Here is a 20,706-nt window from a genome sequence, read left to right on the forward strand (position 1 = left end):
CAAAGTGCTGGGATTACAAGTGTGAGCCACCAAGCCCAGTCTAGAATGTAATATAGATTAGCCATCATGGGCTTATGTCTTTCCTAGACTTTTAAAATTTAGGATAAGAATGACCTATTCAATATAGTAATTAGAATTTTTGTCATGTTTACATTTGGTGCTGTCAGTGTTTTTAATTTTTTAGTCATTCTAGTGGGTGTATAATTAACCTTGAATTTTTAATTTGTCCCAAAACACTAAAAAGTAAATTACTCGCAGACTTTAGATTTCTTTTTCTTTTCCTAATAGATTGGGTATTACTCTGTTGCCGAAGTTGGAGTGCAATGGTGTGATCCTAGCCTATGACAGCTCAAACTCCTGGACTCGAGCAGTCCTCCCACCTCAGCCTTCCTAGTAGCTAGGACAACAGGCATGCACCACTGTGCCTAATTTTTATAATTTTTTGTAGAGACAGGATCTTACTTTGTTACTCCTGGCTTCAGGCAATCCCCCTGCCTCAGCCTTCCAAAGTGCTTGGATTACAGGCGTGAGCCACTGTGCCTAGCCTAGAATAATTTTTTTTTTTTTTTGAGACAGAGTCTTGCTCTGTTGCCCAGGCAGTGGTGCAATCTCAGCTCGCTGCAAGCTCCGCCTCCCAGGTTCACACCATTCTCCTGCCTCAGCCTCCCGAGTAGCTGGGACTACAGGTGCCCGCCACCATGCCTGGCTTATTTTCTTTTTTGTATTTTTTAGTAGAGACGGGGTTTCACCATGTTAGCCAGGATGGTCTCGATCTCCTGCCCTCGTGATCCACCCACCTCGGCTTCCCAAGAATAATTTTTAATGACAAATTATATGCAACATGCTACACCATTGATTCAAGCAAACCAACGTGTTATGAAACCATCACTGAGGATTTTTTATATAATACATGTTGTAAAATGCCTTTTTAAAAGTTTGCTTTTGTTCTGATCTCTTATATTTTGCTTTCATTATAGTTTTCAATTATAGAACATACCCGTGAAAGGAAACATGCAAATGACCAGACAGTCATTTTTTCAGATGAAAACCAGATGGACCTGACATCAAGTCACACTGTAATGATTACCAAAGGCCTTTTAGATAATCCCATAAGTGAAAAGTCCACCAAGATAGATACCACATCATTTCTAGCTAATTTAAAGCTTCACACCGAGGACTCAAGAATGAAAAAAGAAGTAAATTTTTCCGTGGATCAAAACACTTCTTCAGAAAATAAAATAGATTTCAATGACTTCATAAAAAGATTGAAAACAGGAAAATGTAGTGCTTTTCCTGATGTGCCTGATAAAGAAAATTTTGAGATACCTATTTATTCCAAGGAACCGAACAGTGCCTCTTCTACACATCAAATGCATGTATCTCTTAAGGAAGATGAAAATAACAGTAATATTACTAGGCTCTTTAGAGAAAAAGATGATGGGATGAATTTCACCCAGTGTCATACAGCCAATATTCAGACATTGATTCCCACATCCAGTGAGACCAACTCACGGGAATCTAAAGGTAATGATATTACAATTTATGGCAATGACTTTATGGACTTGACATTTAACCACACTTTGCAGATCTTACCTGCAACAGGTAATTTTTCTGAAATAGAAAATCAAACTCAGAATGCCATGGATGTAACAACAGGTTATGGAACTAAAGCTTCAGGAAATAAAACAGTTTTTAAGAGTAAACAAAATACTGCTTTTCAAGACCTTTCCATAAACTCTGCAGACAAAATACATATTACCAGAAGTCATATTATGGGGGCAGAAACTCACATAGTCTCACAGACTTGTAATCAGGATGCCAGAATATTAGCCATGACCCCAGAATCTATATATTCTAATCCATCTATTCAAGGTTGTAAGACTGTTTTCTATTCTAGTTGTAATGATGCCATGGAAATGACCAAATGTCTCTCAAATATGAGAGAGGAGAAAAATTTGCTAAAGCATGACAGTAATTATGCTAAAATGTATTGCAATCCAGATGCTATGTCTTCTCTCACAGAGAAAACTATTTATTCCGGAGAGGAGAACATGGACATTACCAAGAGTCATACAGTTGCAATAGATAATCAAATTTTTAAACAAGATCAATCAAATGTGCAAATAGCAGCTGCACCAACACCCGAAAAAGAAATGATGCTCCAAAATCTTATGACCACATCAGAAGATGGGAAAATGAATGTAAATTGTAACTCAGTTCCTCATGTATCTAAGGAAAGAATACAGCAGAGCCTGTCAAATCCTTTGTCTATTTCATTGACTGATAGAAAGACTGAACTCTTATCAGGTGAAAATATGGATTTGACTGAAAGTCACACAAGTAACTTAGGAAGTCAGGTTCCTCTTGCAGCTTATAATCTAGCACCGGAGAGTACCAGTGAATCTCACTCTCAGAGCAAAAGCTCTTCAGATGAATGTGAAGAAATTACCAAAAGTCGTAATGAACCATTTCAGCGATCAGACATAATAGCCAAAAACAGCTTAACCGACACCTGGAACAAAGACAAAGATTGGGTTTTGAAGATTTTGCCCTACCTTGATAAAGATTCTCCTCAGTCAGCTGATTGTAATCAGGAGATAGCAACAAGCCATAATATAGTCTACTGTGGTGGAGTTCTTGATAAACAAATAACTAATAGAAATACAGTATCATGGGAACAATCTTTGTTTTCTACCACAAAGCCATTATTTTCATCAGGACAGTTCTCTATGAAAAATCATGATACTGCTATAAGTAGTCATACAGTGAAATCTGTACTAGGCCAGAATTCTAAACTGGCTGAGCCACTGAGGAAAAGTTTAAGCAATCCCACACCTGACTATTGCCATGACAAGATGATTATATGTTCAGAGGAAGAGCAAAATATGGATCTAACAAAGAGCCACACTGTCGTCATTGGATTTGGTCCTTCTGAACTACAAGAACTTGGTAAAACTAATTTAGAACACACTACTGGCCAGCTAACAACAATGAACAGACAGATAGCTGTAAAAGTTGAAAAATGTGGTAAAAGTCCCATAGAAAAAAGTGGAGTGCTTAAATCTAACTGTATTATGGATGTGTTAGAGGACGAAAGTGTACAGAAACCTAAATTTCCAAAGGAAAAGCAAAATGTCAAAATTTGGGGAAGGAAAAGTGTTGGTGGACCAAAAATTGATAAGACTATTGTATTTTCAGAAGACGATAAGAATGATATGGATATCACTAAGAGTTATACAATAGAAATAAACCATAGACCTTTATTAGAGAAACGTGATTGTCATTTGGTGCCATTGGCAGGAACTTCTGAAACTATTTTATATACATGTAGGCAGGATGACATGGAGATCACTAGAAGTCACACAACTGCCTTAGAATGTAAAACTGTCTCACCAGATGAAATAACTACTAGGCCTATGGACAAAACTGTAGTGTTTGTAGATAATCATGTTGAACTAGAAATGACAGAGTCCCATACTGTTTTCATTGACTACCAAGAAAAGGAAAGAACAGACAGACCTAACTTTGAACTATCCCAAAGGAAAAGCCTAGGAACACCAACAGTGATATGTACTCCTACTGAGGAGAGTGTTTTCTTTCCAGGAAATGGTGAAAGTGACCGTCTAGTAGCAAATGACAGCCAGCTAACCCCTCTGGAGGAATGGTCTAATAATAGGGGCCCTGTAGAGGTAGCTGATAACATGGAATTGTCTAAATCAGCCACTTGCAAAAACATCAAAGATGTACAAAGTCCTGGATTTCTGAATGAACCTCTATCAAGCAAAAGTCAGAGAAGAAAAAGCCTTAAGCTAAAAAATGACAAGACCATTGTATTTTCAGAGAATCATAAAAATGATATGGATATTACCCAGAGTTGTATGGTGGAAATAGATAACGAAAGTGCCCTGGAGGATAAAGAGGACTTCCATTTGGCAGGGGCTTCTAAAACTATTTTGTATTCATGTGGGCAGGATGACATGGAGATCACTAGGAGTCACACAACTGCCTTAGAATGTAAAACTCTCCTGCCAAATGAAATAGCTATTAGGCCCATGGACAAAACCGTATTGTTCACAGATAATTACAGTGATCTGGAAGTCACCGATTCCCATACTGTTTTCATTGACTGTCAAGCCACAGAGAAAATACTTGAAGAAAACCCTAAATTTGGAATAGGAAAAGGAAAAAACTTGGGTGTTTCCTTTCCTAAGGATAATAGCTGTGTTCAAGAAATCGCTGAAAAACAAGCACTGGCTGTAGGAAACAAAATAGTTCTTCACACCGAGCAAAAGCAACAACTCTTTGCTGCTACTAATAGAACTACTAATGAAATCATCAAATTTCATAGTGCTGCTATGGATGAAAAGGTCATAGGGAAAGTTGTAGACCAGGCCTGTACATTGGAAAAAGCGCAAGTTGAAAGCTGTCAGTTAAATAATAGAGATAGAAGAAATGTGGACTTTACAAGTAGTCATGCAACTGCTGTTTGTGGATCCAGTGATAATTATTCCTGTTTACCAAATGTTATTTCCTGTACTGATAATTTGGAGGGTAGTGCCATGCTCTTATGTGATAAAGATGAGGAAAAAGCCAATTATTGCCCAGTGCAAAATGATCTTGCTTATGCAAATGATTTTGCCAGTGAATATTACTTGGAATCTGAGGGACAGCCTCTCTCTGCTCCTTGTCCTTTGTTAGAGAAGGAAGAAGTTATTCAAACCAGTACCAAAGGACAGTTAGACTGTGTTATAACACTGCACAAAGATCAAGATCTGATTAAGGATCCACGAAATCTATTGGCTAATCAAACTTTAGTATATAGTCAAGATCTGGGGGAGATGACTAAACTTAATTCAAAGCGAGTATCTTTTAAGCTTCCAAAGGATCAAATGAAAGTCTATGTTGATGACATTTATGTTATTCCTCAGCCTCATTTCTCAACCGACCAACCTCCATTACCTAAAAAAGGACAGAGTAGTATCAATAAAGAAGAAGTAATACTGTCTAAAGCTGGAAATAAGAGTTTAAATATTATAGAAAATTCCTCTGCACCCATATGTGAAAACAAGCCCAAAATACTCAATAGTGAGGAATGGTTTGCTGCAGCCTGTAAAAAAGAACTGAAGGAAAATATTCAAACAACTAACTATAATACAGCTCTAGATTTCCACAGTAACTCAGACGTAACTAAGCAAGTCATTCAAACTCATGTCAATGCTGGAGAAGCACCAGATCCTGTAATTACATCTAATGTTCCATGTTTTCATAGTATCAAACCAAATCTGAATAATTTGAATGGAAAAACTGGAGAGTTTTTAGCCTTTCAAACTGTTCATCTACCACCCCTTCCAGAGCAATTACTTGAATTAGGAAATAAGGCACACAATGATATGCATATAGTGCAAGCTACAGAAATACATAATATTAACATAATCTCCAGCAATGCTAAAGATAGTAGAGATGAGGAAAATAAAAAGTCTCATAATGGAGCTGAAACCACCTCTCTACCGCCAAAGACAGTTTTTAAAGATAAAGTAAGGAGATGTTCTTTGGGAATCTTTTTGCCTAGATTGCCCAACAAGAGAAATTGTAGTGTCACTGGTATTGATGACCTGGAACAGATTCCAGCAGACACAACTGATATAAATCACTTAGAAACTCAGCCGGTCTCTAGCAAAGATTCAGGCATTGGATCTGTTGCAGGTAAACTGAACCTAAGTCCTTCTCAATATATAAATGAGGAAAATCTTCCTGTATATCCTGATGAGATCAATTCTTCAGACTCTATTAACATAGAAACTGAGGAAAAGGCCTTGATTGAGACATACCAAAAAGAGATTTCACCATATGAAAATAAAATGGGAAAAACTTGCAATAGCCAAAAAAGAACGTGGGTACAAGAAGAAGAAGATATTCATAAGGAGAAAAAAATCAGAAAAAATGAGATTAAGTTTAGTGATACGACACAAGATCGGGAGGTGAGCTCTGTCTTGAACCAAAGAATGTTCTTGAATTTTGGGTTTTGTTTTGTTTTCTTAAATTGTGGGTATTCTCAAATTTTAATCTTAGTCTCGGGTAGGCAGAAAATAATTATTTCCACTTAGAGGGCTGGAGAAATATTCTTATGTAGAACCTTCAGAAATTAATTGACTAACAGCTAGACTTCAAAGCAATTTAAAGTGACAAATAGTCACAAAAAAATTAAATGGAAAATTGTACAAAAAGTAGCCAAAGTTAAAATTGTATAATTTCAAAAATTTCAAAAGGTATGTATACTGTCACCTCTAGTGATTTGTCAATTTGGCTTTATATAAGAATCTCTAGGGAGGTTATATATAGCTTGAAAAGTCATCTTCAGTGTTGTTATATTTGGGGAGTAAAAAGCTTTTTATTTTGCCAACTGCATGAAGTAAAGCTTGACTGAATTTCCTTGGCTGACAAGGATATGTAGAAGTTGAGAGTCCATTTTCTTTATTATTTAATTTTATTTTTATTTTATTTTATTTTTGAGACAGAGTCTTGTTCTGTTGCCCAGGCTGGAGTGCAGTTGTGTGATCTCAGCTCACTGCAACCTCTGCCTTCTGGGTTCAAGTGATTCTCCTGCCTCAGCCTTCCGAGTAGCTAGGATTGCAGGTGCCTGGCACCACACCCGGCTAATTTCTTTCTTTTTTTTTTTTTTTGTATTTTTAGTAGAGATTGGGTTTCCCCATGTTGGCCAGGCTGGTCTCGAACTCCTGATCTCAGGTGATCCACCCACCTTGGCCTGCCAAAGTCCTGATATTACAGGAGTGAGCCACCACGTCCAGCCTGCATTCTATTTTCGATAAATATATAGATTATCTGCTATGTCTTAGGCACTGTTTTATGTGCTGGGAATGCAGAGAAAAATCTGCTGTCATGGAGTTTACATAATATTTATTCATTTATTTATTTTTGAGACAGACCCTCGCTCTGTTGCCCAGGCTGGAGTGCAGTGGCGCGATCTCGGCTCACTGCAACCTCCATCTCCCTGGTTCAAGTGATTGTCGTGTCTCAGCCTCCCAAGTAGATGGGAGTACGGGTGCACACCACAATGCCCAGCTAATTTTTGTATTTTTAGTAGAGACGAGGTTTCACCACGTTGGCCAGGCTGGTCTCAAACTCCTGGCCTCAAGTGACCCACCCACCTCGACCTCCCAGAGTGCTGGGATTACAGGCATAAGCCACCACGGCCCATAATGGCGTTTATTTATTTATTTTTGTTTTGTTTTGAGATTAAGTCTTGCTCTGTTGCCCAGGCTGGAGCACAGTGGCGTGATCTCAGCTCACTGCAACCTCCGCCTCCCAGGTTCAAGCGATTCTCCTGCCTTGGCCTCCTGAGTAGCTGGGATTACAGGCATGTGCCACCACACCCGGCTAATCTTTGTATTTTCAGTAGAGTCAGGGTTTCACAATGTTGGCCAGGCTGGTCTTAAACTCCTGATCTCAAGTGATCCACCTTCCTTAGCCTCCCACAATGTTGGGGTTACAGGCGTGAGCCACAGCGCCCAGCCCCCTTAATAGCATTTACATAAAAGAATATATTGTTTTCAGCCAGGCGCGGTAGCTCATGCCTATAATCCCAGCACTTTGGGAGGCCAGGGCAGGTTGATCACGAGATCAGGAGATCAAGACCATCCTGGCTAACACGGTGAAACCCTGTCTCTACTAAAAATACAAAAAATTAGCCAGGCATGGTGGCGAGCACCTGTAGTTCCAGCTACTCAGGAGACTGAGGCAGGAGAATGGCGTGAACCCGGGAGGTGGAGCTTGCAGTGAGCCGAGATCACGCCAGTGCACTCCAGCCTGGGCAACGGAGTGAGACTCCGCCTCAAAAAAAAAAAAAAAAACTTACCAAAAGCATGTAAGAAGATAGATGAAGATGGCATTTAAAGCTGTGAAGTCAAATGGTTAAAATAGTAAAAGCAGGACCACATAACTTATTCAGCTAAAGAAGTCTTGGTCAGCTGGGGAGGAAAGTAGTAAAGCCTGGAAATAAGTTTATTGTCTGGACTCTAGCCAGGGCCACCACATACAGCCAATATTCTAGTCTGGTTTTCTGCAGTGTGGTTGCCCTGCTGTTGGTGGCTAGTAGTTGAATAATTGGATAGGTGAACATTTGATAGCTTACAGGATCTGATTATAACTTAGATATATAATGAGAAATAATTTGCATACACAGTATAATCCATAGAGTAATTTTCAATAAAATTACTTTTAACTCTAATTAAAGGCTTAAGATGTTTGTTACTTATTCTAATTCTTCACTAAGATATTTCATATGAATTATAGATTAATTGTATGTTAGAAGTAGTATTTCTGTTAGTGTTTGTCGTAAGTATACAGTGTATATTTTATTCTGATGATATTCCTTAATTGACAATTTCAGATTTTTGATCACCATACTGAAGAGGATATAGATAAAAGTGCTAACAGTGTATTGATAAAAAACCTGAGCAGGACCCCATCTAGTTGCAGCAGCTCTCTGGATTCAATCAAGGCTGATGGGACCTCTCTGGACTTCAGCAGTAAGAGCTTCATGAAGGCTAAATAATAGCAGCCATCTGCTTACTTAACTAATAATAAGTAGTTTTCAGTTCAGGAAATATTTGAATGTTGTATATGCCTTTTTGGGGTTATAAAAAGTTGATCAGTAAAATAATATTTAGTTTATTTTTAATTCTTAGTTTGTAATGCACTGAGAAGTGACATACTACAGAGAAATAGAGTGATTTCCTTCATGGGCTTATAATTAGTGGAGAAACACTGGAGCCTTAAAACTATAATATACTTTGCCCTGCTACATGACTGTCTTCCCAGAAAGATCCCAATGGGTAGCTTCAGGATCAGAAACAATCTGAATGATAACCACAATTAAGTTCACAGTTTAGTTTTGACTTGTTCGTCACCAGAATTTGCTTTACTTCTAGCTTACCGCAGTAGTCAAATGGAATCACAGTTTCTCAGAGATACTATTTGTGAAGAGAGCTTGAGGGAGGTATGTTAAAATTCTTTTTCTTTTTTTTATTTATAAAGAAAAGAGGTTTAAACGTCTCATTTCTAATACACGTAATATTCTTGGTTTAAAAAATTTTTTTTAATTACGAAATATTTCAAATATACAGAAGACTACTTTTCTTTGTTAAAGATCCAACATAACAATTAATTAAATGGAGTAGAAGTCATGATTAAAAGGTATTTGTTTTGGCCGGGCATGGTGGTTCATGCCTGTTATCTCAGCAACATGGTGCCTGAGGGAAGAGAATCACTTGAGCCCAGGAGTTCAAGGCTGCAGTGAGCCATGATCACACAACTGTACCCCAGGCTGGGTGACAGAGCAAGGTCTTGTCTCAAAAAAAGAGAAAAAAATGATGTATCTTTTGGGTTTTGGGATTTTTAAAACTCTATTTGTTATTCAATAACCTTAAGAAATGATCTTAGATAAAATCTGCTCATGTATAGCCTGCAGATATCTGGATAATATTTCCATAAATGTATACAAGATACCTTAAGCTTTTAGAAACAAATGAAGTGGTTATATCAAAGTGAAATCACATTGAATGGTCATGCAAACTTTTTTTTCTTTTCTCAGAAACTCCAAGATGGGAGAATAACAATAAGGGAGTTCTTTATACTTCTCCAGGTCCACATCTTGATACAGAAACCCCGACAGAGCAATCTCCCAGGCAATGTAAGTGCAGTTTCTTGGCAAAATGTTTGCATCAAAGCAAACATTTATTTAAAAGCACAAAAAGAATGGAAGAGAGCAAATTTTCCTATAGAGAGTTTTCTTTTTTTTTTTTTTTTGCCTTTTCTTTTTTTTTTTTTTTTTTTTTTTTTTGAGATGGAGTCTCGCTCTGTTGCCCAAACTGGAATGCAGTGGCGCCATCTCAGCTCACTGCAACCTCTGCCTCCTGGGTTCAAGTGATTCTCTTGTCTCAGCCTCCTGAGTAGCTGGGACTACAGGCGCGTGCCACCACACCCGGCTAATTTTTGTATTTTTGTAGAGACAGGGTTTCACCATATTGGCCAGGCTGGTCTTGAACTCCTGACCTCGTGACCCACTTGCCTCAGCCTCCCAAAGTGCTGGGTTTACAAGCGTGAGCCACTGCGCCCGGCCGAGAGTTTTCTTATAGTAGAGAGATTTGTGGTTAGCATAAACAAAAACCAAAAATTTTCACATGGATTTTTTTAATCATGGATTTCGATAAGATAAAATTTGAATTTTCCCTTCATTCCTTGCCATCTATTTTTTTGATACATTTTCCTGATTACAGAACTAACATGGGCTTTTTCCTCCATTATAAAAATCTAAGGGTAGCAGAGGTTTTTAATGAACAGTTTTCAAAATCAAAAATATGTAAACTGGATACAGTGGCAGGTGCCTGTAATCACAGCTACTCAAGAGGCTGAGGTGGAAGAATCACTTCAACACAGGAGTTTGAGGCCAGCCTGGGCAACATATCAGTATCCTGTCTCAAAAAATTTAAGATCATAGAATATTTGAATAATACAATCAACGCTTTCAATTGAAAAGATTAATAGAAAAACTTATATTCCTTACATAGGAATGTTTTTTGTCTTAAGGCTGTCAGACATTTCCAAAAGTTAGTTATACTCTTGGCCACAAAGAAAACATTAATAAATTTTTTAAAATGGAGGTTTTATAGAGACTACATCATCTAATCTTGATCCAATACAATTAGAACTTATAAAAGAACCAAAACATTCTGAGATTCTTAGAAATTAAGAAACACAATATCTTGTAGATGAAGCATCCCCAACCCCTGGGGTTAGGAACTGGGCCAAACAGCAGGAGGTGAATGGTGGTGGAGTGAGCAAAGCTTCATCTGTATTTACAGCCACTTCCCATTGCTTGCATTACCAACTGAGCTCTGCCTCCTTTCAGATCAGCAGTGGCATTACGTTCTCACAGAAGCACGAACCCTATTGTGAACTGCACACATGAAGGATCTAGATTGTGTACCCCTTATGAGAATCTAATGCATGATGATCTGTCAGTGCCTCCCCACCCCGAGATGGGACCCTCTAGTTGCAAGAAAATCATCTTAGGGCTCCCACAGATTCTATATTATGATGAGTTGTATAATTATTTCATTATATATTACAATGTAGTAATAATAGAAATAAAGTTCAGACTGGGCATGGTGGCTCACACTTGTAATCCCAGCACTTTGGGAGGCCCAGGCAGACAGATCGCCTGAGCTTAGGAGTTCAAGACCAGTCTGGCCAACATGGCTGAACCCGTCTCTAAAACAATACAAAAATTAGCTGGGCATGGTGGCACACACCTGTAGTCCCCGCTACTCAGGAGGCTGAGGTGGGAGGATGGCTTGAGCCCAGGAAGTGAAGGTTGCATTAAGCCAAGATTGCACCACTGCACTCCAGCCTAGGCAACAGAGCCGGACCCTGTCTCAAAAAATAAAAATAAAAATAAATAAAAATAAAATAAAAACAAGGAAGTTCACAATAAATGTGCTTGAATCATCCTGAGACTATCCCCTCTTCCTGGTCCTTGGAGGAATTGTCTTCCATGAAACTGGTCCCTGGTGCCAAAAAGGTTGGGGACTGCTGTTGTAGACAACATAGTTGGGTAAAAAAAAAACAGGAAACACTTCTAGATAACTCCTAGATCAAAGAAGTCGAAAATATTTCTTAGTAAAGGAGAATATTTAATGGCTAGTCTGTGGGACATACAGCAAAAGCTATACTTAGCAGGAATTAAAAGCCTTAGATATCTTTGTTGTCGTGGAGTCTAAAATTAAAGAAATTTTTATTTATTTATTTTTTATTTTTAGAGACGAGATCTTGCTATGTTGCCCAGACTGGTCTTGAGCTCCTGGGCTTAAGCAGTCCACCCACCTTGGCCTCCTAAAGTGCTAGGATTACAGGCATGAGCCACCGTGCCCAGCCAAGATATTAATACTCATAATATCCACAAAAAAGATAGGAAGATAGAATTAATATAGGTAAAAAGTAGAGCTAATGAAATAGAAAACAAAAATTGTTGGAGAGGATAAATCCAGGCCAGGCATGGTGGCTCACACCTGTAATTTCAGCACTTTGAGAGACCAAGGCGAGAGGAATGCTTGAGCTCAGGAGTTTGAGACCAGCCTCGGGAAAATAGGGAGACCCTGTTTCTACAGAAAATTTTAAAATTAGCCAAGTGTAGTGGCCTGTGCCTGTGGTCCCAACTACTCAGGAGGCTGTCATGGGAGGATCTCTTGAGCCCAGGGGTTCAAGGCTGCAGTGAGCTATGATTGTACCACTGCCCTCCAGCCTGGTCAACAGAACAAGACCCTATCTCAAAAAAAAAAAAAAAAGAATAAATCCAAAAGCTATACTTTGAAAAGACAATAAAATAAGAAAACTCCTGAAGAGTCTAATTAAGAAGAAATAAGCAGCTGCGCACAGTGGCTGGTGTCTGTAATTCTAGCTATGTGGGAGGCTGAGGAGGGAAGATCACTTGAAACCAAGAGTTCAAGACCAGCCTGGGCAACATAGCGAGACCCCCCCCCACCCACATCTTTTAATTAAATAAGTGAATGAAAAAAGAGAAAGCTAAAATATAGAAGATTAAGAAAGAAAACGTACTCATAGATTAAAAGAGACTAAAATAATTTTTTGTTGGGTGCCATGGCTCACATCTGTAATCCCAACACTTTGGGAGGCAGAGGCAGGAGGATTGCTTGACCCTAGGAATTTGAGACCAGACCAGGCAACAGGTGAAATCCTGTACAAAATGAAATAATTAGCCAGGCCTGGTAGCATGTGCCTGTAGTCCCAGCTACTCGGGAGGCTGAAGTGGGAGTATGACTTGAGCCCAACAGGCAGAACTTGCAAGGAGCCAAGATTGTACCACTGCACTCCAGCCTTGGAGATAGAGCCGGACCCTGTCTCAAAAAAAAACGAAGAAAGTGAAAAGGCAACCCACAGAATGTGAGAAAACAGTTGAAATCATACATCTGATAAGAAGCTTTATCCAAAATATATAAAGAACTCTTACAACTCAATAATAAAAATACAATCCAATTTAGGCCTGGCTTGGTAGCTCATGCCTGTAATCTTAGCACTTTGAGGGGCCTAGACTAGAGGATTGCTTGAGCTCAGGAGTTTGAGACCAGCCTGGGCAACATAGTGAGACCCCATCTCTATTTAAATAAATAAATAAAACATAGTGAGACTCTGTCTCTATTTAAATAAATAAATAAAATACGACCCAATTTAAAAATGATCAAAGGATCTGAAAAGATATTTTTCCAAAGAACAGTCATGTACTGCGTAAGGACGTTTTGGTTAACAACGGACCACATATACACAGGGGGTCCCATAGGATTTTTATGGAGGCCAGGCATCGTGGCTCACACCTATAATTCCAGTGCTTTGGGAGGCCAAGGCAGGTGGGTCATTTGAGGCCAGGAGTTTGAGACCAGCCTGGCCAACATGGTGAAACCGCATCTCTACAAAAATTACAAAAGTTAGCCAGGCATGATGGCGCGTGCCTGGAGTCCCAGCTACTGAATCGCTTGAACCCAGGAGGCGGAGGCTGCAGTGAGCTGAGGTCACGCCACTGCGCTCCAGCCTGGGCGACAGAGCGAAACTCTGTCTCAAAAAAAAAAAAAAAAAAAATTGTAATGGAGCTGGAAAATTCCTATTGCCTAGTGACATTGTAATGTAGCACAACACATTACTCACATGTTTGTGGTGATGCTAATGTAAACAAACCTGCGCTGCCATTCCTGTTAAAGGGTAGTACATATAATTATGTACAGTAACATAATACTTGATAATGATAACAGACCATTAGGTTGCTGTCTTATGTATTTACTATACTATACTCTTTATTGTTATTTTATTTTTTTGAACCAGAATCTCACTTTGTCACCCAGGCCAGAGTGCAGTGACCTTGGCTCACTGCAGCTTCAACCTCCTGTGCTCAAGGGATTCTCTTGCCTCAGCCTCCCAAGTAGCTAGGATTATATGCACAAGCCACCACACCTGGCTAATTTTTAAATATTTCTTAGAGATGGGGTCTCGGTATGTTGACCAGGCTTGGTCTCAAATTCCTGGCCTCAAGCAATCCTATTTTGCCTCTCAAAGTGCTGGGATTGCAGGTGCAAGCCACCATGCCCAGCCCTTATCGTTATTTTAGAGTATATTCCAACTTATAAATAAAACAAGTTAACTGTAAAACAGCCTCAGGCAAGTCCTTCAGGAGTTATTCCAAAAGAAGGCATTGTTATCATAGGAGATGATAGCTCCATGGGTGTTATTATTTCTCAAGACCTTCCAGTAGGACAAGAAGTGGAGGTGGAAGACAGTGATATTAATGATCTTGACCCTGTGTAGGCCTAGGCTAATGTGTGTGTTTGTATTTTAGGTTTTTGTTGTTGTTGTTGTTGTTTGTTTGTTTGTTTGTTTTGAGATGGAGTTTCTCTCTTACTGCCCAGGCTGGAGTGCAGTGGCATGATCTTGGCTCACTGCAACCTCCGACTCCCAGGTTCAAGCGATTCTTCTGCCTCAGCCTCCCAAATACCTGGGATTACAGGCACATGCCACCACACCTGGCCAATTTTTGTATTCTTAGTAAAGACAGGGTTTCACCCTTTTGGCCAGGCTGGTCTCGAACTCTTGACCTCGTGACCCGCCCACCTCAGCCTCCCAAAGTGCTGGGATTACAGGCATGAGCCACCACGCCTGGTGCGTGAATATACTTTAAAATTCGTTTAATTGTATACTTAAATGGATGGATTGCATTGTGTGTGGATTATATCTCCATAAAGCTGTTTAGAAACAAATCAATTACTGGAGAATTATATATTTGAATGTGAAAGGTAAATCAAGGATAGAAATTGGGAAGATGGGCACACAACTCTTTTGGGCCTCAGCCTCATTACCATGATAGCTGCCAGTAGAATCCTCTTGCCTCAGCTATAGATAGGGAGGAGAAAGGAGCTTAGGTGTGCATCCAGGGGCTGATACTCTTTCTACTTTTCTTATAAAGGGAAAGTAGAAAGAGTATTAGGAGACCAAGACCAAACAGAGGAGAGCAGAGGGGAAGGATAGGAACAGGGAGGATATTGGCAGGGTGAAGGAGGGAGAGGATGCTTTAGGAATTGATCCTTGACAAATTGATGTTATGAATCTTCCCCTTTCCTCCCAGGTCTTGCTGAAGTCAGGAGGGGTAGTGATAGGAAAATATATCTGGGAACAAACCTATCAAAATGGAAAGAGTTCAGGGTACTTCGGGAAAGAAGTTGAAAATCCCAAAATAGGAAAAGGCCAAAGAGATGGATTATATGTGGACCATGGAAAATGAGGTTCGTGGCTGTGGGCATCTGTTTCAGGATTTTTTTTTTTTTTTTGAGATGGAGTTTCGCTTTGTCATCCAGGCTGGAGTGCAGTGGCACGATCTCGGCTCACTGCAACCTCCACCTCCTGGGTTCATGCCATTCTCCTGCCTCAGCCTCCCGAGTAGCTGGGACTACAGGCACCTGCCACCATGCCCGACTAATTTTTTGTATTTTTTTTTAGTAGAGACAGGGTTTCACTGTGTTAGCCAGGATGGTCTCGATCTCCTGACCTCGTGATCTGCCCACCTCAGCCTCCCAAAGTGCTGGGATTACAGGCTTGAGCCACCATGCCCGGCCTGTTTCAGGATTTGTTTTTTGAGATGGAATTTCACTCTTCTTGCCCAGGCTGGAGTGCGGTGGCATGATCTCAGCTTACCGCAACCTCCGCCTCCCAGGTTCAAGCGATTCTCCTGCCTCAGCCTCCCAAGTAGCTAGGATTACAGGCATACACCACCACGCCTGGCTAATTTTGTATTTTTAGTAGAGGCAGGGTTTCCCCGTGTTGGTCAGGCTGGTCTCAAACTCCTGACCTCAGATGATCCGCCCGCCTCAGCTTCCCAAAGTGCTGGGATTATAGGTGTAAGCCACCACACCCACCTGGGGAATGTATTCTTGAGGCAGGGGGAGAGATGTGTGCCAGCCCTCATAGACATGTACACACCTCCCATATATACGTACAGTTGCAGGAACTCAGTTGGCGGCACTAGCAGAAGGTGCTATTGTAGAGGCCCATGACCCCCTGCATGCTCATGTAGTGACTCAGGCCAAAGCACTAGAACTCACATCTCCTAGTAAGGGTGAGGATCTGTTTTTGTTTTTTGTATTTTTTTGAGACGGAGTCTCGCTCTGTCACCCAGGCTGGAGTGCACTTCCCGGGTTCAAGTGATTCTCCCTGCTTCAGCCTCCCCAGTAGCTGGGGATTGCAGGCACCTACCACCATGCCTGGCTAATTTTTGTATTTTTAGTAGACATGGGATTTCGCCATGTTGACCAGGCTGGTCTCGAACTCCTGACCTCTGGTGATCTGCCTGCCTCGGCCTCCCAAAGTGCTGGGATTACAGGCGTGAGCCACCGCACCCAGCTGGTTGAGAAATTATTGCAAGTGCTCCTGCTAGGCTTGAAGTTCTCAGGTGCTGATTATGTATAAGTTGGACACTACTTAATCATAGTAAGTCCAGGAGAGGAGGGTGGCTTTACACATGGTGCTGAATTCAAGGTGCAGCAATTAATCTACCCACTGCATACAGCATAGGCAACTGCATTCAATATGTGCTTGCTGTGCATGAGCCTAATATTCACTGGCACTTTTCTTCCTGGCAGATCTCTGGGAATGTGGTCTTGTGCTTCACTTTATGTGTTATGAAAGTTTATGATGAAACCTTTTTAAAACAATTTTAGTATTATAGAAAATTTCAAACATATCAGAAAATAGAGAATAGTTTTATTAACCCCCTGTGTGTCTGTCACCCAACTTCAAAAATTATCAACTCTAGTCTTGGTGCTATGGCTCATACCTGTAATCCCAGTACTTTGGGAGGCCTAGGCAGGAGGATCACTTGAGGTCAGGAGTTCAAGACCAGCCTGGCCAACATGGTGAAACCCCCCCTCTACCAAAAAAATACTAAAATTAGCTGAGAGTGGTGGTGCATGCCTGTAGTCCCAGCTACTCGCGAGGCTGAAGTGGGAGAATCACTTGAACCCGGGAGATGGAGGCTGCATGAGCTGACATCGCGCCACTGCACTCCAGCCTGAGCAACAGAGTGAGAGCTTGTCTCAAAATTATCAACTCTTGTTTTTTCTCTACCTAACCCTCCATTTCCCCTCCCCCGCATTATTGTGAAGCAAATTCCAAGCATCATCAATCTATAAGTATTTCAATATGTATTCCCTAAAAAGGTGAAGACTCTTATTTTAAAAACATATCCAATATAATCATACCATAAAATGGTTAATTATTCAGTCAGTGTTTACATTTCCCTGATCGTCTTATGCCTTTTTTTTTTCCCCAGTTTGTTTTCTTGGGATCCAAATGAGATTCAAACATTGCCGATTAGTTGAAATCTCTCTCTAGTCTTATAATCTATAAGGTCCTTTTCCATCTCTCTTTTTCTTTTTTCTTTCTTTTTTTTTTTTTGGTATTTAAAAAATTTTTTTAATCTTCACTTTTTTTCTTTCCTTCCTTCCTTTTAATGAAGAAACCAGGTTTTTCTGTAGAGTTTACCACAGTCCAGATGTTGCTAATTGTGCATGCCCAAATATTTCTCTGCCCTTTTTTTTTTTGTAAATTAATATAGGCTTGATTAGATTAACAGCGTTTTTTTTTTTTAAGTTTACTTTACCGTTGTAATTCCATTAGGAAATAGATAATGTCTGGTGATGACGTGTATGCAGCCATTAATTCATTAGAGGTTGTAAAGAAGTGATATACTCCAGGTTGAGCATCCCTAATCCAAAAAACCACAAATCTGAAATGCCTTAAAACCCAAAATGTTTGAGTGCTGACGTGACACCACAAATGGAAAATTTCACACCTGACCTCATGTAATGGGTTGCTGTTAAAATGTACTGTGAGTCAGGAATGGTGGTGATGCTGAACAGCCACAGATAGTCCACATGGGTGGCCAAGGTAGTGATACCTTTGCTTTATGATGGTTCAATATATATAAGCTTTGTTTCATGCAGATTATTTAAAATATTATATGAAATTACTGTCAGGCTATGAGTATAAGATATATATGAAACATAAATTTATTTCATGTATAAACAGGTTCCATCCCCAAGATATGTCATTATGTATATGCAAATATTCCAAAAATCTGAAAAAAAAAATCCAAAATACTTAGCTGGGCATGGTGGCTCACACCTGTAATCCCAGCACTTTGGGAAGCCAAGGCAGGCAGATTGCCTGAGCTCAGGAGTTCAAGACCAGCCTGGGCAACACGGTGAAACCCTCTCTCTACTAAAAATACAAAAAAAATCAGCCGGGCCTGGCAGCATATGCCTGTAGTCCCAGCTACTCGGGAGACTGAGGCAGGAGAATTGCTTGAACCTTGAACCCAGGAGGCAGAGGTTACAGTGAGCCAAGATCACGCCACTGCACTCCAGCCTGGATGACAGAGTGAGACTCTATCTCAAAAGAAAGAAAGAGAGAGAGAGGGAGGGAGGAAAGGAAGGGAAGGGAGGGGAGGGGAAGGGAGGGGGGAGGGGGAGGGGGAAGGAAGGGAAGGGAAGGATAGGATAACATAAGCTGGGTTCTAGTGTTGTCATTATTTAGAGATGGGGTCTCACTTCCTCACCATGCCCAGCTAAAGTTTAAAAACTGTTTTAAAGACAAGCTCTTGCTTTGTTTCTCAGGCTGGTCTCAAGTGATCCTCCTGCCTCAACCTCCTGGGATTACAGCATGAGCCACTGTGCCCAGGTCTGCCATTTCTTTTTCTTTTCTTTCTTTTTTTTTTGAGATGGAGTCTTGCTCTGTCACCTAGTCTGGAGTGCAATGGTGCGATCTCGGCTCACTGCAACCTCCGCCTCCCGGGTTCAAGTGATTTTCTCGCCTCAGCCCCCCAAGTAGCTGGGATTACGGGTGCCCACCACCACGCCCGGCTAATTTTTGTATTTTTTAGTAGAGATGGGGTTTCTCCAGGTGGGCCAGGCTTGTCTTCAGCTCCTGATCTCAGGTGATCCGCCTGCCTTGGCCTCCCAAAGTGTTGGGATTACAGGCGTGAGCCACCGCGCTGGCTGCCATTTCTTTTTTTTCTTTCTTTCTTTTTTTTTTTTGAGACGCAGTTTCGCTCTTGTTGCACAGGCTGGAGTGCAATGGCACTGTCTCTGCTCACTGCAACCTCCGCCTCCCGATTTCAAGTGATTCTCCTGCCTCAGCCTCCTGAGTAGCTGGGATTACAGGCATGCGCCACCACACCCGGCTAATTTTGTATTTTGTATTGTTGGTCAGGCTGGTCACCAACTCCCAAACTCAGGTGATCCGCCTGCCCTGGCCTCCCAAAGTGCTGGGATTACAGGCATGAGCCTCTGCACCCAGCCTGCCATTTCTTTTTTAACCAGTACATATAGTTTTGATTTTTATGTATAATTCTAGCCTTAAAAATCCTTTTTTTTTTTTTGGCTGGGTGCAGTGGCTCATGCTCATAATCCCAGCACTTTGGGAGACCAGAGGAAGAGGATCACTTGATCTGGGAGTTTGAGACCAGCCTGGGCAACGTAGCAAAACCCCATAACTAAAAAAAAAAATTTTGGCCGGGCACGATGGCTCATGTCTGTAATCCCAGCACTTTGGGAAGCCGAGGTGGGCAGATCACCTGAGGCCAGGAGTTCGAGACCAGCCTGGCCAACATGGTGAAACCCCATATCTACTAAAGATACAAAAGTAGCCGGGCGTGGTGGCACACACCTGTAATCCCAGCTACTGTGGAGGCTGAGGCAGGAGAATCGCTTGAAGCCACGAGGTGGAGGTTGCAATGAGCTGAGATCACGCCACTTCACTCCAGCCTGGGCAACAAGAGCAAAACTTCATCTCAAAAAAAAAAAAAGGAAAAAAAAAATTTTTTTTAATTAGCCAAGCATGGTGGCTCACATGCACCTGTAGTCCCAGCTAATTGGCAGGCTGAGGTTGGGGGACTGCTTGATCCTGGGAGGCTGAGGCTGCAGTGAGCCGTGATCACACCATTACATTGCAGCCTAGGTGACAGCTAGACCCCATCTCAAAAAAAAAAAGGCTAGTCATAGCTGGAGACAGTGGCTCACATCTATAATCCCAGTGCTTTGGGAGGTTGAGGCAGGAGAATCACTTGAGGCCAGGAATTCGAAACTATCCGGGGCAACATAGCAAGACCCCATCTCTACAAAAAATTTTAAAATTAGCCAGGCGTGGTGACACATCTGTAGTACTAGCTACTGGAGAGGATGAGGCAGGAAGATCGCTTGAGCCTAGGAGTTGGAGATTCAGTTGTAGGGTTTTGTTTGATTTTTGTAAATAAGGAGCTGACTTGATTTTTTTCTTTTCTTTTCTTTTTTTTCTTTTTTTCTTTTCTTTTTTTTTTTTTTTTGAGACGGAGTCCTGCTCTGTTGCCCAGGCTGGAGTGCAGTGGCGCAATCTCGGCTCACTGCAGCCTACACCTCCTGGGCTCAAGTAATTCTCCTGCTTCAGCTTCTGGAGTAGCTGGGACTACAGGTGTGCGCCACCATGCCCAGCTAATTTTTGAATTTTTAATAGAGACAGGGTTTCACCTATTGGCCAGGCTGGTCTCAAACTCCTGACCTCAAGTGATCTGCCTGCCACCTCCCAAAGTGCTGGGATTAC

At 41.0% G+C, this 20,706-nt stretch overlaps 1 protein-coding gene across 2 annotated transcripts in view; it reads left to right on the forward strand.

The window, feature by feature from the left end:
* The window catches only part of KNL1 (kinetochore scaffold 1), a 70,094-nt gene that overhangs the window by 25,414 nt on the left and 23,974 nt on the right, over nucleotides 1-20,706 (forward strand). For both annotated transcript variants that reach the window (NM_170589.5, NM_144508.5), the window contains 4 exons: nucleotides 978-5,978; nucleotides 8,408-8,546; nucleotides 8,949-9,016; nucleotides 9,611-9,709. In NM_170589.5, the coding sequence (NP_733468.3) occupies nucleotides 978-5,978; nucleotides 8,408-8,546; nucleotides 8,949-9,016; nucleotides 9,611-9,709 (5,307 nt within the window). The remainder of the gene's footprint in view (nucleotides 1-977; nucleotides 5,979-8,407; nucleotides 8,547-8,948; nucleotides 9,017-9,610; nucleotides 9,710-20,706) is intronic.

The sequence above is a fragment of the Homo sapiens genome, chromosome 15, assembly GCF_000001405.40.
Source record: "Homo sapiens chromosome 15, GRCh38.p14 Primary Assembly".
In the NCBI taxonomy this organism is placed as follows: domain Eukaryota; kingdom Metazoa; phylum Chordata; class Mammalia; order Primates; family Hominidae; genus Homo; species Homo sapiens.